This window comes from Homo sapiens, chromosome 21 (genome assembly GCF_000001405.40).
Source record: "Homo sapiens chromosome 21, GRCh38.p14 Primary Assembly".
NCBI classification, from domain to species: domain Eukaryota; kingdom Metazoa; phylum Chordata; class Mammalia; order Primates; family Hominidae; genus Homo; species Homo sapiens.
Genome location: NC_000021.9, coordinates 38,534,379 through 38,559,174, shown reverse-complemented (window position 1 = coordinate 38,559,174; position 24,796 = coordinate 38,534,379). Strand labels below are relative to the sequence as shown.

The 24,796-nt window shown below is 39.2% G+C and overlaps 1 protein-coding gene and 1 long non-coding RNA gene across 9 annotated transcripts in view; one reads left to right on the top strand and one right to left on the bottom strand.

Annotated features, from left to right (window-relative positions):
* Positions 1-24,796, top strand: part of ERG (ETS transcription factor ERG) — a 294,523-nt gene that overhangs the window by 102,609 nt on the left and 167,118 nt on the right. The window lies entirely within an intron of this gene.
* Positions 15,576-24,796, bottom strand: part of LOC105372802 (uncharacterized) — a 39,782-nt gene continuing 30,561 nt past the window's right edge. The window contains exons 2-4 of one of the 2 annotated variants that reach the window (XR_937712.3): positions 19,904-20,013; positions 17,821-17,931; positions 15,576-16,250 (exon numbers count right to left, since the gene is read on the bottom strand). This is a non-coding gene — a long non-coding RNA (uncharacterized LOC105372802). The remainder of the gene's footprint in view (positions 16,251-17,820; positions 17,932-19,903; positions 20,014-24,796) is intronic. The other variant, XR_937711.3, reaches the window with a different exon arrangement.

The following is a 24,796-nucleotide window of genomic DNA, read 5'->3' as shown; positions in this document are numbered from 1 at the left end:
CTTGTTCTGCTCCTGATCTCTCTGTGCCAGCCCATCAGCTAGGATTCATGGAGCAAGGTCTGTGGCTTCAATGCTGGGTGCTCTTTTGCTTTCATTGTGGGGTACTCACAGACACCCTCCAGCCTGAGGCACCGGTTCTGCCCTGTGCATGCAAAAGAGACTGTGTCTCCATATCGCCATCACTTCCCCTCTCCTTTCTTGCTATTGTTCTCTTTATATTCAAATTATGTAGTTGGTACTTTTAATGTTATTTTACATTTCCTTGCACCTTGATGAAAGACATTGTGTATTTCTCACCTTTTTCTGTGCTGATTTTTTATCTGCTCACAAATATTGCCTTTATGACTCCATTTCTCTTAAATGTGGCTTTTAAGTGTTTTTGGTTCATTTGTGGAAATCATTTACTCTTCCCTCAATTTGCGCTGTAACTGTCACCTCCGTGTGTTAAGTAAATCGGGGAGATTTCTTTATTTCTACATTTGGCTTTCCTTATTGATACGTGATAGGAAAGAAAGTAATTCCCAAGGAAGACTATCCCAGTATTGTAGGAATGTTGTGGCAACATTAAGCCCCACTCCATCTTGCATTTCCATACTTTTGCCATTTACTATTCAAAGATTTGGAGACTGATGGAAAACTATTTCTTGTTTGAGGCACACACACTAATGTTTGACTTTGGATGAGAAATTTTTGAATGTCCTTGGAAAAGTAGAATGCTGACAAGGACCTTGAGAGAAGGGACTGTGATTCACCCTGTCTTAAAGAATGAAACTTAAAACTATTACCAATATAATTTGTACCAATAATAGTACTCATCTTCTTATTACTTTAATCTCCTATTCAGTTTAAAGTTTCTTGCTAACCCCAGTGTTGACCTGTTTCAGGCTGGGAAATCTCAGTTTGGACAGAAGGTGTGGTTGGTCCCCTTTCTCCATGGTACATGTCCATTTCTCCTGCTGTCATCTCCTTGCCTCTTCTGTGCCCTTGAAATCAATGATGAGTTGAGTGAGGTTCACCAGACCAGGTTTGGGGCCACCCTCAGCAGATTCTGCCTTAATAGTCTGGTACCTCTTTTTTAGAATGAGGTCTCTGCCAAAACTGTAGGACCCCCCCCCAAAACTTAGCATCCTGATTTAGATCAAAGAAAAAAAGCAAAAGATGATAAAATTAAATATAAAATGCCAGTTGCCATAGGATATATAAAATGATAAAATAGTTCCAAATCATAAGTAATTTTTAAAAAGTTTTGTTCATTAGTTGAAGTGCAGGGAGAACACTTTGTACATCTTCCTAATCTCAGCTAATTCTGCATCTTTAGGAGCAAGAAGAAGGGTTAATATGCAGGTGATGCTGGGGTGCCCATCTTCATAGAACAGATGCCCCCAAAGTCATACCCAGAACATTCTAAGAGTCTTTTGAGAAATCCAGGGAAATCATCCACAGAACACATGGTTTTCCCCATGTGGTTAGGATTTTATCTTTACCTTTAAGAGGTTTTACATCTAAATTGTCACTCTTATTCTCATTGGTTAACGTTCTCAGAGTATAATGCCAAGACGTCTAAATTGTTAAAAACTTAACCTTTTAAAAAAACATACACATATATTAGTTTTTTTTCAAGCTAATATATGTTTGATCATTGATCCTCAGAGATTCCTACAAACCTCAGGTTGGTCCCAGAAGTCCGGGGGATGTCTTCTAAAAGTGGGTGACACAAAGACTTATGACTTGCAGCCTAGAGAAGCACTGTCTGAGTGAAGCCCAGGGGCCAACTGTGTAGCTTCTCAGCTGCTCTATGTCCTGGATCTTTCCATTTTATTCTAAAATAGTATATTGCAATATTGAAATTCAATATGGAAATATTTCCTTGTGGCTTTAAATAAACTTTTCAGGAATGCATATTAGCAACTAAAAATAGAGAAAGTCTCAAATTTCTCCACTTTTCCAAAGCTATTCTGGAGATTTAACACTTTTCTTAGCACTCTGAAGGATAGAACCCATGATATCAGTGGCACAAGGTCACAGAAACATTTAGAACTTTCTCTTCCTGAGTACACATAGCTTTGGAGTAGCTGAATACATGTGCTTTGTGAGTTCAGTGGAGAGTCCCACAAAACACGGTGGAGGTGGCAGAACCTGGAAGACCCAGTAACTCTATGTGACGGCTACTCTAGTGGAAGCCTGAGTTCTCTATTGGGTAACCTTGGATGATTGGGTTAGGCTCTGCTGAGGGTGCTGGGCAGATGTGAGGGGCTACCCCAGCGTTAATCAGGGTAGGCTAATAGCTCTAACTCTCAAATTTCAGTGGTCTAAACAAAGTTTATTTCTCACTCCTGTAACAGTCCAGTATGGGGGTCTGGGTGCGGTGGGTCTCCTCAGTAGCTCTCTGATGAGAGGAGCAAGAGAACCCTGCTTTCTTCCCATCCAGCCTCTACCTAGCCTTCCCCCCACTCTGTGTCCTCAGAAGCCTTTCTTTTCAGCCAGTGGGTGGGAGAAGAATGGAAGATTGCATGTAGACCTGTTTCCTAGGCCAGGCTTCCATCTACCTTTCATTGACCAGGAATGAGTCACATGACCACACCTGGCTGCAAAGGAGGCTGGTAAATATAGTCTGTCTGGGTACCAAGGAGGAAAAGGGATATTGGAAAGGCTTGGCCCACCCCTTTTGTATCCACAAAAGGCTGCAGAAATGTGATTGGCTCATATGCCCTATCTCCTCCTATCTCCAGAGATGTGACTTCTTCTCTCCTTGGGTGACTACAAAATAATAATCTTCTTCATTTTTTCTCCCATGACAAATCTTGATGTCACTGTGAACAACAATCTAAAAAAGTAAAGATTATATATAATAATTATATGTAATCTCACCAACCCAGATACAATTAACATTTTAATCGTTATATTTCCAGTCTATTTTTCCATGAACAATATTACATATAATTATTTTTGCCAAAAGAGGTCATAGTAACTGCTATTTTTTCAATTTTTTGAAACTGCCCTTTTATCATCCCAAAATATTGCATTTCTGCAATATGGCATTTTTTTTTCCATGTCCCTAGAAACTGTTTAGTGACCTATGCAATTTCATCCTATGTATATTCTATACATTTTAAGCTAAATATTTTTTGTTGGCTTCAGATTCTTGGCTGTTATATACAGGGCTATGTTGAATATCCTGTAACTATCTTTGATTAAATCTATGATAACTTCCTTAGGTTCTAATCATATAAGTAGAATTTCTAGAACAAAGAATATGCAACTGTCCAAAATTTTTACATATATTTCCAATTTCCTTTCTGAAGACTTTTACCAGTTTAAGCACATACCAGTATATGACATTACTTGTTTCCCCAATATCTGCCAATATTTGTTATTGTATTTTTATAATTTGACAGTACAAATAGCAAGACCTTGATAGGTCACATTTATTTGCATTTCTTTGATTATTAACTTTATTAGAAGTGTACTGATGATTTATACTTTTTCATGTCCTTAGTCCATTTTTCCATGTGGACTTGAATTTTTCTTCTTTATTTCCTCAAATGTGTTGCCAGTGTCAGACATAGTGCATATTTCAATATAGATACTCAATAAAAACTTGTTAACTGAACAAAGAAAATTATGTTAAGGATGTAACATATAAGTTACATCCTTTATGTTAAGGATGTTAAAACTCTGTCAAATGTGTTTCATATATTTTCTCCAGAAATTGTTGAAATTTTTCTATTAAATAATAATATTGAAAATAGAAAATTTTTGACAATGGATATATTATTTTTTTACTGAGAAAAAAACCAAAACTATTTTTTATAGTCTTTCAATATATAGTTTCTTAATTTTTTTTTTTTGAGACAGAGTCTCCCTCTGTCAGCCAGGCTGGAGTGCAGTGGCATGATCTCAGCTCACTGCAGCCTCCGTCTCCCGGGCTCAAGCAATTCTCCTGCCTCAGCCTCCTGAGTAGCTGGGATTACAGGCGTGTGCCACCATGCCTGGATAATTTTTGTACTTTCAGTAGAGACGAGGTTTCACTATGTTGGCCAGGCTGGTCTCAAACTCCTGACCTCAGGTAATCCGCCCGCCTCAGCATCCCAAAGTGCTGGGATTACAGGTGTGAACCACTACCCCTGGCCAGATTTTTAACATGTCATTTAATTTGTTAACATTTTTTTTTGTGAATTCTTTAGTTCATCCTGACAGAGGCTGTTCTCATCCTAAATTATATAACTATTCATCTGTATTTTCTTTCTGTGTTTTATGGTTTAATTTTTAATTAAATCTAATCTATTTGGATTTTTTAGATGTATAATGTGAGATAGGGATTTAGTTTTTTTTTTTTCCTTTCTAACTTTTATTTTAGGTTCGGGGGTACACGTGTACGTTTGTTACGTGGGTAAATTGCATGCCATGAGAGTTTGGTGTGCAGATTATTTCATAAACCATGTAATAAGCATAGTGCCCAATTGGTAGTTTTTCAATCTTCACCCTTCGTCTACCCTCCACCCTCAAGCAGCCCCTGGTGTCTATCATTCCATTCTTTGTGTCCATGTGTGCTCAGTGTTTAGCTCCCACTTATAAGTGAAAACATGTGGTATTTGGTTTTCCGCTCCTGTGTTAACTCCCTTAGGATAATGGCCTCCAGCTCCATTCATGTTACTGCAAAGGACATGATTTCATTCTATTTTATGGCTGTGTAGTATTCTGTAATGTTTGTGTACCACATTTTTTTCTTTATCCAGTCCACCACTGATGGACTTCTAGATTGGTTCTATGTCTTTGCTATTGTGAATAATGCTGTGAATAATGCAGGTGTCTTTACAGTAGAACAATTTATATTCCTTTATATACCCAGTGATGGGATTATTGGGTTGAATGGTAGTTCTATTTTAAGTTCTTTGGGAAATCTCCAAACTGCTTTCCACAGTGTCTGAACTAATTTACATTCACACACGCAGCATATAACTGTTCCTTTTTCTCTGCAGCCTCACCAACATGTGTTATTTTTTGACTTTTAAAATTGCCGTTCTGACTGGTGTGTCATGATATCTCATGGTGGTTTTGGTTTGCTTTTCTCTAGTGATTAGTGATGTTGAGCGTTTTTTCATATGCTTGTTGGTCACACATGTCTTCTTTTGAGAAGTGTCTTTTCATGTTTTTTTGGCCCATTTTTTTTAAAGAAGTTGTTTTTTGCTTGTTAATTTGCTTAAGTTTTTTTTTATAGATTCTGCATATTAGACCTTTGTTGGATGCATAATTTGCAAATATTTTCTCCTATTCTGTACATTGTCTGTATACTCTATTGATAGTTTCTTTTGCTGTGCAGAAGCTCTTTAGTTTAATTAGGTCCCATTTGTCAATTTCTGTTTTTGTTGCCATTGCTTTTGGAGTCTGTCATGAAATCTTTGCCAGGGCCTATGTCCAGAATGGTATGTTCTAGGTTTTCTTCTAGGTTTTTATAGTTGTATGATTTACATTTAAGTCTTTAATCCATCTTGAGTTGATTTTTGTATATGGTAAAATGAAAGAGTCTAGTTTCAATCTTCTGCATATGGCTAGCTAGTTATCCAAGCACTATTTATTGAATAGGGAATCCTTTCCACATTGCTTGTTTTGTCTACTTTGTTGAAGATTAGATGACTATAGATGTGTGACATTACTTCTGGGTTCTCTAATCTAGTCCATTGGTTTATGTGTCTGTTTTTGTACTAGTTCTATGCTGTCTTGGTTACTGTGGCCTTATGGCATAGTTTGAAGCTAGGTAGTGTGATACTTCAGCTTTTTGGTTTCCTAGAATTGCTTTGGCTATTTAGGCTCTTCTGTGGTTCCATATGAATTTCCAAATAGTTTTTTCTAATTCTGTGAAAATGTAATTAGTAATATGATAGAAATAGCATTGAATCTATAAGTTGCTTTGGGAAGTATGGCCATTTTAACAATATTGATTCTTCCTATCCATGGGCATGGAATGTTTTTCCATTTCTTTGTGTCATCTCTGATTTCTTTGATCTTTGTTTTGTAATACTTGTCATAGAGATTTTCACTCCCCAGTTATCTGTACCCTTAAGTATTGTATTTTTTTTGTTGCTATTTTGAATGGAATTGCATTCTTGATATGGCTCTCAGCTTGGACATTGTTGATGTTTAGAAATGCTACTGATTTTTGTACATTGATTTTGTATCCTAAAACGTTGTGAAATTGTTTTTCAGATCCAGGAGTTTTTAGACAGATACAATGAGGTTTTCCAGACATAAATCACGTCCTCTGTGAAGAGAGATAGTTTGACTTCCTCTCTTCCCATTTGGATGTATTTTGTTTCTTTTTTTTTTTTTTCTCTTGCTTGATTGCTCTGGCTAGGACTTCCAGTACTATATTGACTAAGAGTGGTGAGAGTGGGCATCCTTAGCTTGTTTCAATTCTCATGGGGAATGCTTCCAGCTTTTCCTGTTCAGTACAGTGTTGCTGTGGGTTTGTCATAGATGGCTGTTAGTATTTTGAGGTATGTTCTTTCAATGCCTAGTTTGTCAGTGTTTTAAACATGAAAGGATGTTGAATTTTATTGGAAGTCTTTTCTGCAGCTATTGAGATGATCATGTGGTTTTTGTGTTTAGTTCTGTTTATGGGATGAATCACATTTATTGATCTGCATATGTTGAGCCAACCTTGCATCCCAGGAATAATGTGTAGTTAATCATGGTGGATTAGCTTTTTGATGTGGTACTGGATTTGGTTTACTGGTATTTTGTTGAGGATTTCCAAATCCCTGTTCATCATGAATATTGGCCTGAAGTTTCTTTTCTTATTGTGTCTCTGCCAGGTTTCTGTATCAAAATGATACTGGCCTCATAAAATGAGGTTAAGGAGGAGTCTTTCCTCCTAAATCTTTTGTAATAGTTTCAGTAGGATTGGTAGTAGCTCTTTGTTATACATCTGGTAGAATTTGGTTGTGAATCTCTCTGGTCTAGGGCTTTTTCTGGTTGGTAGTCTTTATATTACTGATTTAATTTTGTAATTCGTTATTGGTCTGTTCAGCGTTTCAATTTCAGACTTTAAACCAACAATGATCAAAAAAGACAAAGAAGGGCATTATATAATGATAAAGGGTCCAATTCAACAAGAAGACTTAACTGTTCTAGATATGTATGCACCCAATGCTGGAGCACTCAGATTCATAAATCAAGTTTTAGGGACCTAGTGAGAGACTTAGATAACCATACAATAATAGTGGGAGATTTCAACATCTCACTGACAGTATTAGATAGATCATCAAGGCAGAAAACTAACTTAACATATTTGAGACCTAAACTTGACACTTGACCAAATGGACCTAACAGACATCTCCAGAACACTGCACCCAACAACGACACAATATGCATTCTTTTCACCTACACGTGGCACATACTTCAAAATTGACTACGCACTTGGCTATAAAACAATTTGCAACAAATGAAAAAAAACCCTGAAATCATACTAGCCGTACTTTCAGACCACAGCACGGTAAAAATAAAATCAATGCTAAGAATATCTCTCAAAATCATGGAAATTGAACAACCTGCTCCTGAATGACTTTTGGGTAAACAATGAAACTAAGACAGAAATCAATAAATTATTTGAAACAAATGAAAACAAAGATACACCATACCAGAATCTCTGGGATACAGTTAAAGCAATGTTAACAGGAAAGTTTATAGCACTAAACACTGATATCAAAAAGTTGGAAAGATCTTAAATTAACAGCCTAATGTCACACCTGGAGGAACTAGAAAAAACAAGAGCAAACCAAACTTACTGCTAGCAGAAGAAAAGAAATAACCAAAATCGGGGCTGAACTGAATGAAATTGAGATACAAAAAAACCATGCAAAAGACCAACAAAAATAAAAGTTGGTTTTTTGAAAGAATAAATAAGATTGATAGACAACTAGCTAGACTGATAAAGAAAAAAGAGAGAAGATCCAAATAAGCATAATCAGAAATGACAAAGGGGACATTACCACTGAACCCACAGAAATAAAAAAAAAACCTCAGAGACTATTAAAAAACATTTCTGTGCACAAAAATTAGAAAACCCAGAAAAAAAGGGATAAATTTATGGAAACATACAACACCCCAAGATTGAACCAGGAAAGAAATAGTTATTTTTCCTCAATAAATGATTGTTCTGTTGCTATTGAATAACTTACTTTCCAACTGATATGAAAATGTTACTTTTATCACCTCCTGAATTCTTTTGTGTACAAAGGTTTGCTTTTAAATTATCTATTCTGTTTCCTCAATCCATTAATCGTCTGTCAATTCCTGACTGCTACCCTTGCTGATTTATCTGCCTTATGTTTTTTTGTGTGTGTGTCACAAACCTTGTGTGAACCCGAGTCCCATTTGCAATGATCCCATCTCTGGCTGGTTGTAGTTATAGTCTCTGTTTTCTCAATTATCTCAAAGCCACCTGCTCATACATAATAGGCTGTCTTAGCTTGGGCTGCTGTAACAAAGTGCTATACATTGAGTGGCATATAAACAACAGAAACTTATTTCTCACAGTTCTAAAGGCTGGAAGTCTGAGATCAGAGTGTAGCAGGGTTGGGTTCTGGTGAGGGCTCTCTTCCTGATTCATAGATGTCCATCTTCTTGCTGGGTCTTCACACTGTGACAAAAGGGTGAGGGAATCTCCCTGGGGTCCCTTTTGTAAAGGTACTAATGCAATTCATGAGACCTCCATCCTTATGACCTAGTCACCTTCCAAAGGCCCCTCCTCCTCATACTGCTACCTTGGGGGTAAGGATTTAAACCCATGAATTTTGGGGGCACACACACATTGCAGTTGACAAACACACTATGTGTCTGAACACATCTCATGGGCCTCCATCTATTACTCCAGGACCCTCAGCTCCTGCTTGGTCTCAGTGGCCACCCCAGCAGATTGACTCCTTCTGGGTGTGAGGGCTTCCACAGCTCAGGGCCAGCCTGTTACCTGTCCCAGGAGGGCTGGCCCTTCTTTCCTGTGACTCAGCAACCAGGTCAAAAGGTTTCCGGATCCTCTTGGCATTTCTGTACTTGGATGAAGCACCCCACCACCGGGCGTAGAACCTGACTTTTGGAGTGGTCACCTTGGGAGCAGGTGACAACCCAGACATGCAGGGTGACTCTGACCAATGAGGAAGGGGATGCAGGAAGAATGTAGGCAACTAAGTTCCTATTTTTCCTCCACCCCATGGGCTGCTGTGAGGTAGAATTTTTCCGTGTAACCTATCAGAGGCATCTGCATGGCCAAGGGAAGGCAGGGGCTCAGTGACTGGCTGTCTCCATGTCCCCAGAAGCTAGTGTAGTGACAATCTCACTCGCTTCCCCTCACTCTCACCGCCCCAGGTTTGCACCTCTCCAATGGAGCAATAGTATTTAATTTTTGTGTCAGTCTGTGTTCAAAGAAATCTAGGTTAAAAAAAACACTGTGTCCTAGACAAGGAAGATATTCATTTCTGTATTACTGCTGTTTTTTCTTTTCTTTGTACTTTCTCTTTTTTTCATAGAAAATTAATATTTGCACCCAAAGAAGCCTCTGTTTCAAAAGACTCAGCTCCCATGACTTTGGCATGTTACATACCTAAGAAGCGTAAATGCAAAACAAATAATAAACCCCAACAATCAGGACATTGTGCATTACTGTATATGTGTGTTTTACTTTGCCAAATTGCAGAAAAGTAGATTGAACATCTAGATTAGGGAAGCCAAAGCTATAACACGTGGATAGACATCTTTAGTTGTAGATTTCGGTGAAGTAAGATAACTAGCTGTTTAGATCTCTCCCTGTCCAGGGTGCACAGCTACAGCTAGTTAGTGTCAGGATGTGCAATAGTTTGGGGTCCTTATTCTGAACTTCTCTATACTCTAGGAGCCTTCAGATGATGCCTTTAGTATGATGATTTATCACCCTGGATGCAGGAAACATCTAGGAAGATGTTTATAAAAACATTATACCTGTGCCCCAATCCCGGAGATTTCACTGGTCAGGGGTGGGCTTGGGCATGGCTTTTTTGTTTTGTTTTGTTTTGTTGTTTTGTTTTGTTTTTTGAGACAGAGTCTTGCTCTGTTGCCCAGGCTGGAGTGCGGTGGTGCGATCTTGGCTCACTGCAAGCTCCGCCTCCTGGGTTCACGCCATTCTCCTGCCTCAGCCTCCCAAGTAGCTGGGACTACAGGCGCCCACCACCATGCCTGGCTAATTTTTTTGTATTTTTTTAGTAGAGGCGGGGTTTCACCATGTTAGCCAGGATGGTCTCGATCTCCCGACCTCGTGATCTGCCCGCCTCAGCCTCCCAAAGTGCTGGGATTACAGGCGTGAGCCACTGTGCCCGTCCCAAAGTCATGCTTTGCAGAGTTTCTACAAATAACTGTTCAGTTTCTCTTTAGAAATCATATGACTGGCCAGGCACGGTGGCTCACGCCTGTAATCTCAGCACTTTGGGAGGTTAAGGCTGGCAGATCATGAGGTCAGGAGATCGAGACCATCCTGGCTAACACGGTCAAACGTGGTCTTTACTAAAAATGCAAAAAAAAAAAAAAAAAAAAAAATTAGCCGGGCGTGGTGGCGGGTGCCTCTAGTCCCAGCTACTTGGGAGGCTGAGGCAGGAGAATGGCGTGAACCCAGGAGGCAGAGCTTGCAGTGAGCAGAGATCGCACCACTGCACTCCAGCCTGGGCAACAGAGTGAGCTTCCGTCTCAAAAAAAAAAAAAAATCATATGATAATGGTCTCTGTTTAAGAGAGGAAAACTATAAGGATCTTGGAATCGTTGCCTACATTGACTTAGAAAGCTTTATTTTTAGAACATAATTTTAAATTTTGAACTAATTATGAACTATTAACTTATATATGATGACACAATAAAATAAAAGCTGTTTTGATTTCTTGGTGGTACTTGGTGGAAAGCCAGTTTATTGGGGCAATATACTGTCCTCACCCTCAAGTGATCACAGATTGCTCAGGGGACATAAGAGGTGGGGTTGGGGAGCTGCAATTTTTGCTGTCATTGAACAGCACAGGGGTACAATTTGCATCTTTTCAGGTATTCCTCTTTGCTAGACCTTACGGGCTAGAAGAAATTAAAGAGAATGAAATGGTAGAGAATTTTTTTTGGAGAAAAATATCATCACACATATTACCAATGTAGAACAATTATGATTATACCGTTTTAAGGATCTCAGATATTTTCCTGCTTAGAGTCTATGTATTTTCATTTAATTATTAAAAAGTACAGGATTATGTAATTTTTTTTGCATTTTATGCCTTGTGGTTAGACCCTAAGTATTAAAAATTGCCTCTACTTAACAGTGGTGCAGTCTTAAAAATTCTGGCTATGGTAGCAAAGGTTCTGGTGTTGGAATATTGTTGGCCTATTAGATTCAGGGAACTATTTTGATGGTTAAGAGTATTTCTGACTGGGCTAAGGGCATCATTTTATCTTTCTTTCATACCTATATGTGGTTATAAATGCCTAGTTATTTTGTCTATGAAAATCAAATCAGTTTCTACAACATAAACAGCAAAACAAAAAGCATCCATGAATCAGCAAACTTTGAAGTGGAATTTTAGCACTAATAAAAGCCCTTGCCTATGATCGAGTCGCCCTCTTTAATGATTTGCAGGTCACTGTTCATCTTTTCCTTTCCTTGCTTTACCATTAAATAAATCTCTCCCAGGTGTCCCAGAGAGACTCCTTAGAGGCAGCGTTCCCTCTTGTCTTGTGAGAATAAGTCTAAGACACTCTTCATTTTGGTGAGTTGATGGTGGGGTTTGTAAATATCCATATGGTCAAACACGCATTGGTTGAGGCCATGCAGATCTTGTTGAGCAACACAGAATGCATCTTCGTACCTTCTTCCCTCTCCAGCCCAATCCCCAATATTTTGGCAAGAATAAATCCATAGCTGCAACATGGGAAGCTAGATATTCATGCCAAATCACGACATTTGAGATCAACAAGTTAGAAAAAAAATCCATGACTTTTCATGTAGCACTTTAGGGTGACCTGGCTCAGAAGTTATCTAGGGCAGACCAGGCCAATGGCTATGGGACATTCCCTGAGACATCTTTTGGACTCTTCCTTCTTCCAACACCCTGGCTCATATTCCCACTCAAAGGAAATGGCAGGAAGTGACCTACAGACAGGCAGACTGTCTGCAGAGAGCAAAAATCTCCTTTGAGGACCACTTCATACACCCACCCACAAACATGAAATAAGTCATAACTGATTCATCCTGCCAGCCACCAGGGATAGTTGGATTAATTGAACACTGTTCTTAAGAAATATTCAGCTGAGGGAGGTCAACGAGGAGATCAACAACCAGGTACAATGGGAAGCTCAGCTTTGGTATTCTGTGCTGCACACTCCACGTTTACCCAGAAGATGTGTAATTGCTTCTGAGAAGCTGAGGCCAGGAGCAGATACCTCTAACAAGCGTGTTCTGAGTGTTCTCTATGAGACCTGGGAGCTGGACCAGGTTGTTTCTTAGCGCTACCTCCAGCTCTCCCTCATTGTTCTTCTTTTGATATAGACATCGTGATTTGGAGGAGGAATGCCTTGGCAGCCAGAGTGGAGCAGTCGAAAACTGTGTATCATAAAAATGAAAATGCATTCTCTTAGGTTTGTGGGCGCTTGTGTCAAGGCCTGAAGAATGAGCTCATATCACAATATTGTGGAAATATTGTGATTGTGGAAAACGTATTGCATAGTAAGTGTTGCCTGTGATAGTATCACATGAGCATACACCCGCACAAGAAGGGTGTGCTGGAGTGGGCGTGCTAGAGTGGCACTGAAGGAAGCACAGTACTATCTTTTCGTATGGCATGTTGGCTTTGTGTTTGACAGTAAAGGGAATAAAATAAGGTCCTCATAATTGGAGCACTTCTGTGTGAGTAGAGGAAGATAAAAAGAAGTAAAAAAAGAAGATAGAAAAAAGTAAAAACTTCAATGGGATTTTAGGGGGAGTTTGCACTTATATCCAGCATATAGGAAAGGCTTTGCAGACAGTGGGACAAGATGTGGGCTCTGGGAGATGGACCAGGGCAATGACAGTAAGTGCTGCATACAGAGGAGACACCTAAACAGCTGACTGGGTCTTGGGAGTCTGGGTATGGAAAGAGTTAAAGATGACTCTAGGCTCAAGCCTGGAAGCCTAAAAGGTGCAGACACCATTTCTAGGAATAAGAAGTTTCATGGAGAAGGATGGAGTTGGACCCAAAGGAGAAGAGAGGAGAAGTCTGTAGATTTGGTTCGCAATCTTTGACTTTGAAGAGCTGAGAAGAGATGTTTAGTAGGAAATGAGTTGGAGTTAATGAGACACTGTGGAGTTGGAGGGTTTTGAAGACCACTGGGCAAGGGGACAGTTTCTTTGGGATTGGATGTGGTCATGTCATGAAAGCTTTTTCAGTGGAGCTCAGTAGAAGCCAAGTTGCAAGTAATTGAAGAGAAAGCAGGCAAAATGCCAAGGCATGTTGATGGTCTCTATCATGTTTATCGTTGTGTCTGAGAATTGTAGCACCGTACTGACTCAATTAACTTTTGTTAATACAAGGGAAAGTGAGATATTGAATGTTAGCTTAAGTGGAGTCAAGAGATGTTTTGGATTATTTATTTTAGGGCAGAAGAAATTTCTCTTGCACAGGGAAAATATCCGTCACAGAGAAAGGGAGGAGATGCAGGAGGGAGAAGACAGCAAGCTGGGAAATCATGGCAGTGTCTGTCTCAGGGGCGCAGATGCAGGGATTAAATTTGGAAAGGAGCAATTATCAACCCTACGTTGCTAAAGGATTTGGGAGCAAGGGAGCGTTTACCTCTGAGTCAAGAGTGAAGGGGGAGAATACAGGTGAAGCTATTGAGAAATCCCAAGAGTGGGAGGTCCAGGTTGAAAGAACTTACATTTTATGGCTTCGTTACTCTAAAAAAGTATATAGAAAACAAGGTCAACCTTTGTGAGTAATGTGAGAGTAGTTTTGGGGTAAGAGGCAGCAGAAAGGAAGGTTTTCAGCAGCTGTGTAGAGAATTATATAGGAAGTGAATTAGGAGTGAATGAAAAGAAGTTAAGGAGTGAATGTAAATTCCAAATGGATTTTAAAAATTATGAGATTTGTGGTAGAGACAGACAGTATTAGCCGCATGCTTTTTCTCCATCAGTGCTTAGTTCTTTGGCACTGGGGTGGAGAAAGAAGACCAAGAGCGGGTAGAAGCTTCCTGGTTAGTAAGAGGATGAGCAATTTCAGGGAACTAGTCAGAGCACAGTGAGCTGACTGTGGGGAGGGGAGAAGAGCCCTGAGTTGATAAAGGTCCTGGGAAAATAGGATGAGTCAAAGAAGGAGAGAGCTTCATGAGCATCCAGGAAGGCTTCAGAAAGAGCAAGGGTGAGGCAGAGATGGAAGGAGAGAAGGCTGTGGTTAGAGAGAGGAATTTTCACTAGAGATTTTTTTTCCCTCATCAGTTCAAATCCAGCCTGGGCTGTGTACCTTATATAATCATTTTCATCATGTTGGTTGGCTTGATTTTACGGTTTCTGTGTTCATTAGAATAAGATATCCTGGGAAAGGAAATGTAAAGTCGCCTCTCTTCTGCCACAGTAGGATCACGTTTGAAGAGTCATGTTTAGTTCCAGACATTTCCTTTAACTATGTATTCTCTGCAGATCCCACTGGTACCACCTGAGAAATACTGAAAAGAGTCACTCCCCAGCTCCACTGCTCTCTTTCTGGTCCAAGTCACCGTGATCCTGTGCGTGGATCATGACTCTGCTTTCCTAATTGTCCTCGCTTCTCTGCAAGCGAGGGTCTGTTCTTCACAGGGAGCCGGGATGACTGCTAGACATTGTCAGTCCATGTGGCTCCAGCGCTGCCAGCCTTCCTCCAGGGCCTGAGGGCCCTAACCACCTGATCCCGGTTACTTCTTCAGCCTCATCTCCTAATGCTTTACCCTTGGTTCTTTCTGCTCTGCCCACACAAACATTCTTGGTATTCCTCACCCCAGGGCCTTTGCACTTGCTGCTCCCGCAATCCGGAATGTTCTACCCATCATTTATGACTTAGTTCCTCACTTTCTTTGGGTCTTCATCACCTTCACAGTAAAGCCTTCCCTGACCACACTATTCAATAGTGTTCCCCAGGCCGGGCTTGGCAGCTCATTGCTGTAGTCCCAGCACTTTCGGAGGTCAAGGCAGGCAGATCACTTGAGGTCAGAAGTTTGAGACGACCAGCCTGGCCAACATGGTGAAATCCTGTCTCTACTAAAAATATAAAAATTAGCTAGGCATGGTGGTGCATGCCTGAAGTCCCAGCTACTTGGGAGGCTGAGGCAGGAGAACTGCTTGAAACCAGGAGGTGGAGGTTGCAGTGAGCTGAGATCGAGCCACTGCCCTCCAGCCTGGGCAACAGAGTGAGACTTCATCTGAAAAAAAAAAAAAAAAAGTGTTTCTCACACATCACCCTGTCTTCCTTCCCACTTTTATATCCCCTTCTCACAGGCTATTAACTTTACTCTTTTATTTTTTTCTTTACTGTACGTCTCTTCCAATGAGAAGGGAACTCCACAAGAGCAGGGGTTTTTATTTTGCTTGTTTGTGGCTCCATCCTCACTTCCCAGCCCATAGTGGATGCTCAATGATGTTCACTGAATGAATGAATATTGAATTACCTGGCTATAAAAGTCATATATGCCCATTGTAGATAACTGGGAAAGCACAGAAAACTATATAATATAAAGATATGTGTATATACACATATACATAGCTCTATGTGGAAATAACCTCTGCTAAAATTACAGTGGAATTGCTTTTTTTTTAAAAAAAAACACACATATACATATGTAGTTTATGCATCAGTAGGGATATTGGTAAATAGAATGAGATTGTGGGTATATGACCAAGGGGATAAAGATTTAAAATCATATTATCTGATGGACTGTTTTTGAGAGATACTTAACCTGGAGATGACCAGGATTTGGAGAGCATAATATACATTTTAGATATTTGAAGAATTATGGTGTCTAAGATGAAGTATACTTATTCTGCATAATTCTGGACTAGAGCAGAATCCACACTACTGGGGAAAGATCCAGAAAGGGTAGTGTTGGCTGCATAGTGAGATTAATTCTCTCCGGTGGGCCACCCATCTGTAGGGCTAAATTTTGAAGAACAGAGCTTGACATCCATAGAAGTTCAAATAGAAACACAATGGCCTCCTGCGAGGTATTTGCTGCTTGATGGCTGTCGTCTAAAGAATCTATGGTAGAAAAGACACATTTAAAAAACCTTTAAGGCAGTTTTAAACAGCTAACAGTAAATTTGATAGCAACCACAGGACATTGCTTATATGTCTGTGGGTATTTTCCCTTTTCTATAAAATATCTTTTCTATCTATTACAGAGTAGTAACTCACATGGAGTATCTATTTACTGTTTATTTTGTCTCTTATCACCCCATTGGTCCTCACAGTTTTAAGTGTCGTATTATCACGGAAGAGAGTGAAAATGCATTTCGTTAGCCATGCATAAGACAGATTAGACCAACAATTCATTTTCTTTTAACCAATCTATTTCTCTATTTTTAGAAATACATTACTCCAGAAACATCAGGAACACATTAAGCTCCATAATAACTGAGATTTTAAAGCCATGTTTTGAAGACCCTCTAAACCCAACTGATATAAACACATTTAAGCCTGACATGGTCATGATGTCATTTGTCCTGTAAACATCTTTTAGCCTTTGGAGAAATTGTAGCAGACATATCAGCAGGATTCATAAACAAGCCAGTGGAAAATACACACAGAGAAGTTCATAATTTGAGTAATTTGTGTTGAAAAATCACAGGACATCTTGATGGATTTATAACTGTCGTGATAAAATTAACAGTGCATAGGCCAGGCGCGGTGACTCACGCCTGTAATCCCAGCACTTTGGGAGGCTGAGGCGGGTGGATCACGAGGTCAGGAGTTCGAGACCAGCCTGGCCAACACAGTGAAACCCCATCATCTCTACCAAAAATGTAAAAAAATTAGCTGGGCATGGTGGCACGGCCAAGTCAGGAGAATCACTTGAACCCAGGAGGCAGAGGTTGTGGTAAGCTGAGAACACGCCACTGCACTCCAGCCTGGGCAACAGAGCGAGACTCCATCTCAAAAAAGAAAAACAAAAACGAAAATAAACAAACAAACAAAAACAGTGTAGAGTATTTTTACTTTGAAGCTATTGGTACTTTCCAAATATCTGCTTTTTAAAAATTTAATTTAATTTTACGTTCCAGGATATATGTGCCGGATGTGCAGGTTTGTTACACAGGTAAACATGTGCCATGGTGGTTCCCTGCACCTATCAACCCATCACCTAGATATTAGGCCACACATGCATTAGCTATTTATCCTGATGGATATTTTCAGGATATCTGTTTTTAAGAAGAATAATGTGCATTCATTTGAATTGCTGAAGTTTCGTTAAATTCACTACAAATTATTTATCCTACATATATTTTAAGTCAGTTTTAAGTAAGACTGTTTTTGAAATAAATTTGAGGTATTTTAGCATAAATCACTCACAAAATAATTTTTAAATTCTGTAAAATTCTATTTGTTTGACTTTATTGCCTTAAGATTCCTGTTATGATTGTTTTTTGAGATAAATTTAGCAGTACATCAGTCATTTAAGGTTTATTTTACACTTGAGCAAGTGGCAATGTGTGGCATAAAACAAGCCCTCCCTATTGTTATAAATGAAGTGTAATCAAGTAGATTATAATAATGCAAGGTGAAATGGGAGACAAAGCAGTTCTTAGCCAGTGCTATCCAGGCAACTCACCTTTGTACTCCGAATTTATCTGGATTACCAAGATAATTGAGGGGATTTTTGCTCAGGTAATTGTAGTTGGGTAATCTGGACTTCTCTTCCAATTTGATTTGAATGAAGCCTCTTAAGCAGAAACATATGGGCATGGAAGAGCAAGCATCGGAACTCTTAAAGGGCAATAAAAAGTATCCTAAGGATTTATAATTGGATGGCGTCTTCCATCCAGATGGATTCCACAGCATTTTAAGGCTTGTAAAGGAAGGCCAGATAGACGTACCACAGTGCCCTTTCCACTCCAAGTTGTGGTCAAGTGTAGTGAAATTTGCAGCACACGAATTCCTGCTTCCTTCCCTTCCACCCCAGTGCCTCCCCAGCCACCCAAGCGCTCAAAGGCAGAGCTAAAGCAAGGAGCTCCACCCAGAGCCAAAGCTTTCCTGATGGATTCTGCTGCATTGCTGGGTTGTGCTGGTCCTCCTCTGGTACCTTCTTAATCTTTGCTAAAGATGTATGCCCACCATTGTCACCCCCAAAATGTCCATATACTTTGAGCTTGGGGTTGACCAGTCAGCTGACAGGTGGCACATACTTTATGGAGGCAGATGGAAAAATTTTACATTCAGCAGAAGAGCCTAATTCCTAGCAAGGATTGGATTGAGAAACAAGGAGCATTAGAAAGCTCCAGAAGGCGGGGTCTCAGGCCTGCACATCTGTCAATATATGATGAGTGATCGGGCCTATGCCTGAGTGTAACCCTCCTTGAGGAGGGGGTTTCATTCCACTGGAGCAAGAGAGGGAGGTGGATGTTCTTATCATCTCATGGCCTCACAGGGGAATCATTTGATGTCAGGATTTTAAGAGATATTAAGTAATTCACTTGCCAGGGGTTTGCAGTTTACTAATAATTTTATTTAACTTTTAGGTTATAACTGTCAGGGTGAGTCAGTTGTGTGCAAAGCATAGGACTAGGAAGAGGGGTGATGTGGAGTGACTGCCTTCTGAGCACGTGGTTTCCTTTTGGGGTGACAAAAATGTTTGGAACTAGACAGAGGTGTTGGTTGGACAACATTGTTAATTAAATGCTACTGAATTGTTCACTTTAAAACTGTTAGTTTCATGTTATGTGAACTTCACCTCAATAAGAAACCAAATATGTTTGAATATTTTTTTTCTTTTAACTGGCACAGTGGCTCAGCCTGTAATCCCAGCACTTTGGGAGGCCAAGATGGGTGGATCACTTGAGGTCGGGAGTTTGAGACCAGCCTGGCCAACATTGTGAAACCCCGTATCTACTAAAATACAAAAATTAGCCAGGCGTGGTGGTGTGTGCCTGTAATTTCAGCTACTTGGGAGGCTGAGGTAGGAGAATTGATTGAACCTGGGAGTTGGAGGTTGCAGTGAGCCAAGATCGTGCCACTGTACTCCAGCCTGGGCGACAGAGCAAGACTCTGTCTCAAAAAAAAAAAAAAAAAAAAATCACGTGTTGGAGACGCTGTTTTATACCTCTGTGATGAGTCAAAGAAGGACTGGGAAAATGCTTCACCCTCCAAGACGCCAACCTGGGGTCAGAGCATGGGTATACGTGCTGTGCTGACTATGCTTACGGTCAGTCCCTGAGAGCCGCTCCTCGTCTATGCACATATAGGAGCATGACCCATTAGCAAAACAAGGTGGGCAGAGGAGCCAGACAGGCAGGGGCTTCAATGGTAAGGAATATGCTCAAAATGACCTCTTAAAAAATACAACAATGATTTGTAAGTATCTTTAATCTTTAGCTTTTTCACTTTATTCGTCGATTTCTGTCTTCTCATGCTTAAAAATAACTCAAAGTTATATTTATATGTCTAGAACAGTGAACATAGGATGTGAATCATGTAATTTTACATTTTCTAGTAACTACCTACACTAATTTCCATCATGTATTTTCTTTTAATACAATCTCCCAGGATATATCTGAAGAGTCCAGCATAGCCAAAATGGAATCTTTTTAATATGTAATCAATATAAAAATGACTAATGAGATACTTTTTTCATAGAACATCTTCCAAATCCAGCATATATTTTGCACCTACAGCACATCTTAATTTGGACTACTCACTTTTCAAGTGATCAGTTGTCACAGGGGCTAGTGGTTGCCATTTAGACTGTGCAGTTCTAGGAGTTGTGATTTTTGTTGCGTCCTCTCTGGTGTCAGGAGATGCTCAGTAACTAAAACATAGGTGAAGAATGATAAACATCACATTATGCATTAGTTTACAGCCTCAGCATCGTTAAAGTGCCTTCAGCTCACAATATGGTGAATGACATAAAAGAAATAGTATTCTTTTCCATTTTATGAGTGAGAAAACTGAGATTCTGAGAGCTGACATCTGCTCATTTATTCCTGCCCAGGAATGGCTTAACTGCTGCTCTGGTTTCCTAGTTGTCTTGGACAGGCCCTGGGCAGTCTCTGTTCCTGGAGGAAAAGATTTATGCACTGTGAAAGAAACTCAGTCATTTTTTACAGAAGAGAAAATGAGTCTCGGAGAAGTACAGTAGCTCTCTTGGTGGTCATGTGCTAGTCAACCATGGAGCTTGAACAAGAACCATGCCAAGAGCTCTTTTCAATTCCAGGTAACAAGCACAAGCCCACATGTCTTCTGTCCCCCAGCCTGCTGGCCAGTCATGTTTGGCCATATAGTTGAAAGCAAAGGGTATGTAATGGAATTACATGACTCCATTTAAAACAGAGAAGCTGACAGACTAGTTCACTGCCTTAGCCACTTAGCCCTGGGACAAATTCTGGCTAGATACCAATTCTAGAAACCTGGAATTTCCCCTGACAATGCCTCTCCCAGTGCAGCTCAGTCATAAAGCAGGGAGTGGCTAGATGGAAGCCCATTACTCCGTAGGTCACTTGGTCACTTTGGACACAATTCTATCTCCTTGATCCAAGAACTAAGAAGGAGGGAGAACCAACTAGACCCAGGAATCTTCTTTTTTTTTTAATGAGAAGAACCATGTTTGATTTTTATGACTTTTTGTTATAGTAAAATATACATAAAATTTATCATCCTAACCATTTTTTAGTGTACAGTTGAGTGGTATTAAATACATTCACATTGTGGTGCAAAACTCACCATCATCCATCTCCAGAACTTTTTTCATTTTCTTACACTGACACTCCAACCCATTAAACAATAGCTTTCCATTCTACCCTTCTCTCAGCCCCTGGAAACCATCATTTTACTTTCTGTTTCTGTGAATTTGACTGCCCTAGGTAACTCACACAAGTGGAATCGTACAGCATTTGTCCTTTTGTGGATGGCTTATTTCTCTTAGCGTAAGATAAATAAGACAATCTCTTAACTTTCCAAAGGTCCATCTGTGTTATAGCATATGTCAGAATTTCTCTCCTTTTCTAAGGCTGAAGATATCCCATGATATGTGTATATCACATTTTGTTTATCCACTCATCTGTGGATGGACACTTGGGTTGCCTCCACCTTTTGGTTATTGTAAATAATGCTGCTATGAACATGGATGTGCAAATATCAGTTCAATTTCCTGCTATCTTCATGCGGAATTGGTGAATCATATGTTAATTCTATTTTTAATTTTTGAATCACTAGACTGTTTTTTATAGTGACTTTCCCATTTTACTCTCCCACCACCAGTGCATAAGATTTGCAACTTTTCCATATCTCCACCAGCACTTGTAATTTTCTGATTTTTTGGTAATAGTCATACTAATGGCTACGAAGTATTTCATTGTGGATTTGAGTTGCATTTTCCCAATGATTAGTGATGTTGAGCATAATTTCATGTACTTATTGGCCATTAGTGTTATCTTTGGAAAAAATTCTGTTCAAGTCCTTTGCCCATTTTTAAATTGGGTTGTTTTTGTTGTTGTTGTTGAGTTGTAGGTTATATACATATATATATATATTTTTTTTTCTGGATATTAATCCCTTATTAGATAAATTATTTTCAGATATTTTCTCTTATTTTATAGGATGTCTTTTGACTTTGTTGATAGCTTGTTTGACTCACAAAAGTGTTTAATTTTAGTGCAGGCAAATTTGTCTCTTTTATTTATGTTGCCTGTGCTTTTGGTGTCATATTCAAGACAGGCTTGTGAAATCCAGTGTTATGAAGTTATTCCCTAAGCATTTTAGAGTTTTCTCATAAGAATTTTAGAGTTTTAGCTTTTATTTTTTGGTCTTTGTTCTATTTTGAGTTAATTTTTGTATATAGTATAAGGTAAGAGCCCAACTTTTTTCTTTTGCATATGTATACCCAGTTTTCCCAACACCAGTTGTTGAAAAGACTCCTTTTTTTCTCATTAAATGATCTTTGAACCACTTTCAAAAGTTATCAGACCATATATGCAATAGTTTATTTCTGAAGTCTCTATTCTATTCCATTGGCCTGTATATCTTAGACCCCAGAACTTTCAAGGACACATTGAATTTTACTTTCCTCTCACACACTAAATCTTGAGATTTTGTCAGCCATAAATTTATCTATTTAGTTCATTGATACGTTCTTTTCTGTTTTGGTTATGCGAAGACTTAACTTGCAAAAAGAAATTTCAGTGTTGAAATATTTTTAGCCAAATCAATTTAGCATTTTAAAGTACAGCTTGATTAGAGATTTGCACAATTTTCACTTTGCATTTTGAAATGTAAATACTGATGACAGACTTCCATTGTCTTGTTTGCTCATGCATTCATTCTTCCCTTCAACATGCACTGAATACCCACTAGGTCTCGGGCTCTGTGTTGGGTTCTACACATTCAAAACCATGGTCTGTTGCCTCTAAGTTTAGTGGTGGATACAGCTGTGCAAACAGTTGCTTTAACAGAGGATGCATAAAATGCTAGGGGATGCAGAGGAGACGCTGACGTCCCAGAGGAGGGCTTCACTTAGAAGATGAGGCTGGATCTGGTATGGAAGGATAGATAGGAGTCCTCAAGGTAGATAAAGAGGAGAAGAGTATTTTAAACCTGGGATGGAATGACTCTTCTTGAAACCACAGTTCTTTTCATGTGGGCTGTTTTCCCAAATGGCTTGTTCTTTGTGTTACTACTGACCAGCTTTCCAGTATAGAGCCTAGGTGGAGATATGGCTTGATGACTCTGGTGGGCTTCCAAAGCCCCTAAGTATAAGTCAGGTTTGGTTGGAGATTACCTCAGTGTCTACCTGGAGAGTCCATTAATCGATTTTTAGGGGTAACTTACCAGCAAGATATTTAATCTGAGTCTGATGGAAATCATCACATGTACTCCATCCCTAGGAGTAGAGAGGGGGCTAATTGCTCATGGTCCATGGCCCACATAACACTTGCCGTCAGATGTAATAACCCAAGATTGGGTCCAGAAATGGTTGCTTAGGCAGGGTAAAGGAGGAAAGAGGATGAGATGTGAAAAAAGCACCAAGAAGATAGTGTTGATTAAAAAAAATTGTGTTTTCTTATTGGTTGAAAATATGAATTTAATAAGAAGTTCTTTCTCCCCCTGAAATCCCATAGCGTTTTATCTGTATTCCTCTTATGAAAGAAGCAGCTGTATGATAATCAAGCACGTTAACTTTTAAACACAAGTGAATTTGTGGGATCAACATGGCAAAATATTAGAAATTGCAATTGAATTGAAAAATCTAGGAAGTATAGCAGTTTTCAGCAGTGAACATATTTTACTTTATATTACTGATATTTATGTCCTTGCAAGGCTTTAAATATAGGGTACTTCCCTAATTCGTCTTTGGGTCTTCCAGGCTGCCCAGCACATAACCTAACACATTGTGGGTTATACATGAAGGAATGAACAAATAAGGGAAAAAAATAAAGGTGTTTTGAAAATCATAAAATATTCACGAGTGTAAGATGTACAGTGGGTTTGGTAAGTGATAGGTGCTATAAAATCTTTTATTTTTTAATTTAATCTTTATTTTTGGTTGTGGCAAACACATAAAACATAAAATCTGTAGTCACAACCACTTTACAGTTCAGTAGTGTTAAGTATATTCACATTGTTGGTGCAGCAAATCTCTGGAACTTCTTTACCTTGCAAAACAGAAACTTGATGTCAATCAACACTCCCCGTGTTCTGCATGCTCCCACCTTTTGGCAACCATTATTACTACTTTCTGAACTTGGACTACTCTAGGTACCTCACATAAGTAGAATCATACACTGTTTGTCTTTTTGTGACTGGTTTATTTCACGCAGCATAATGTCCTTAAGATTCATCTATGGTGTATGTTGGGGGATGGTGGGGGTGGGAGAGCCTTAGGGAAAATAGCTAATACATACTGGGCTTAATACCTAGGTGATGGGTTGATAGGTGCAGCAAACCACCATGGCACACGTTTACCTATGTAACACACCTGCACATCCTGCACATGTCCCTCGGAACTTTAAAATAAAACGATTAAAAAAACCACTTTAATTTAAAAAAAGATTCATCTATATTGTACAATGTGTCCAAATTTTCTTCTTTTTAAAGACTGAATGACATTTTATTGTATGCCACATTTTGTTTATTCATTCATCTGTGGATGGACGATTGGGTTGCTTTGACCTTTTGGCTATTGTGAGTAATGCTGCCATGAACATGGCTGTACAAAGAACTCTTTGAGATCCTGCTTTAAATTTTTTTGAATATATACCCAGAAGTAGAATTGCTGGATCATATGGTAATTCTATTTTTAATTTTTTGAGGAGCCACCATACTGTTTTCCATAGAGGCTGTATCATTTGATATTCCCACCAGCAGTGCACAAGGGTTCTAATTTCTTCATATTTTTGCCACCATTGTTATTTTTAATTTTTTTTATATTTCATAGTAGCCATCCTAATAGGTGTGAAGTGTAAAAATTATTTTCTAAGACTAAAGAATGAAGCTATTGAGTGTCACTTGCTTATCTTCAAGCAGTCAATGCTTTTTTAAAATAATTCTTCAAAGCAGACTATATGTTGAAGTCAGAAGCTTCTGATGTGTGACTTTCA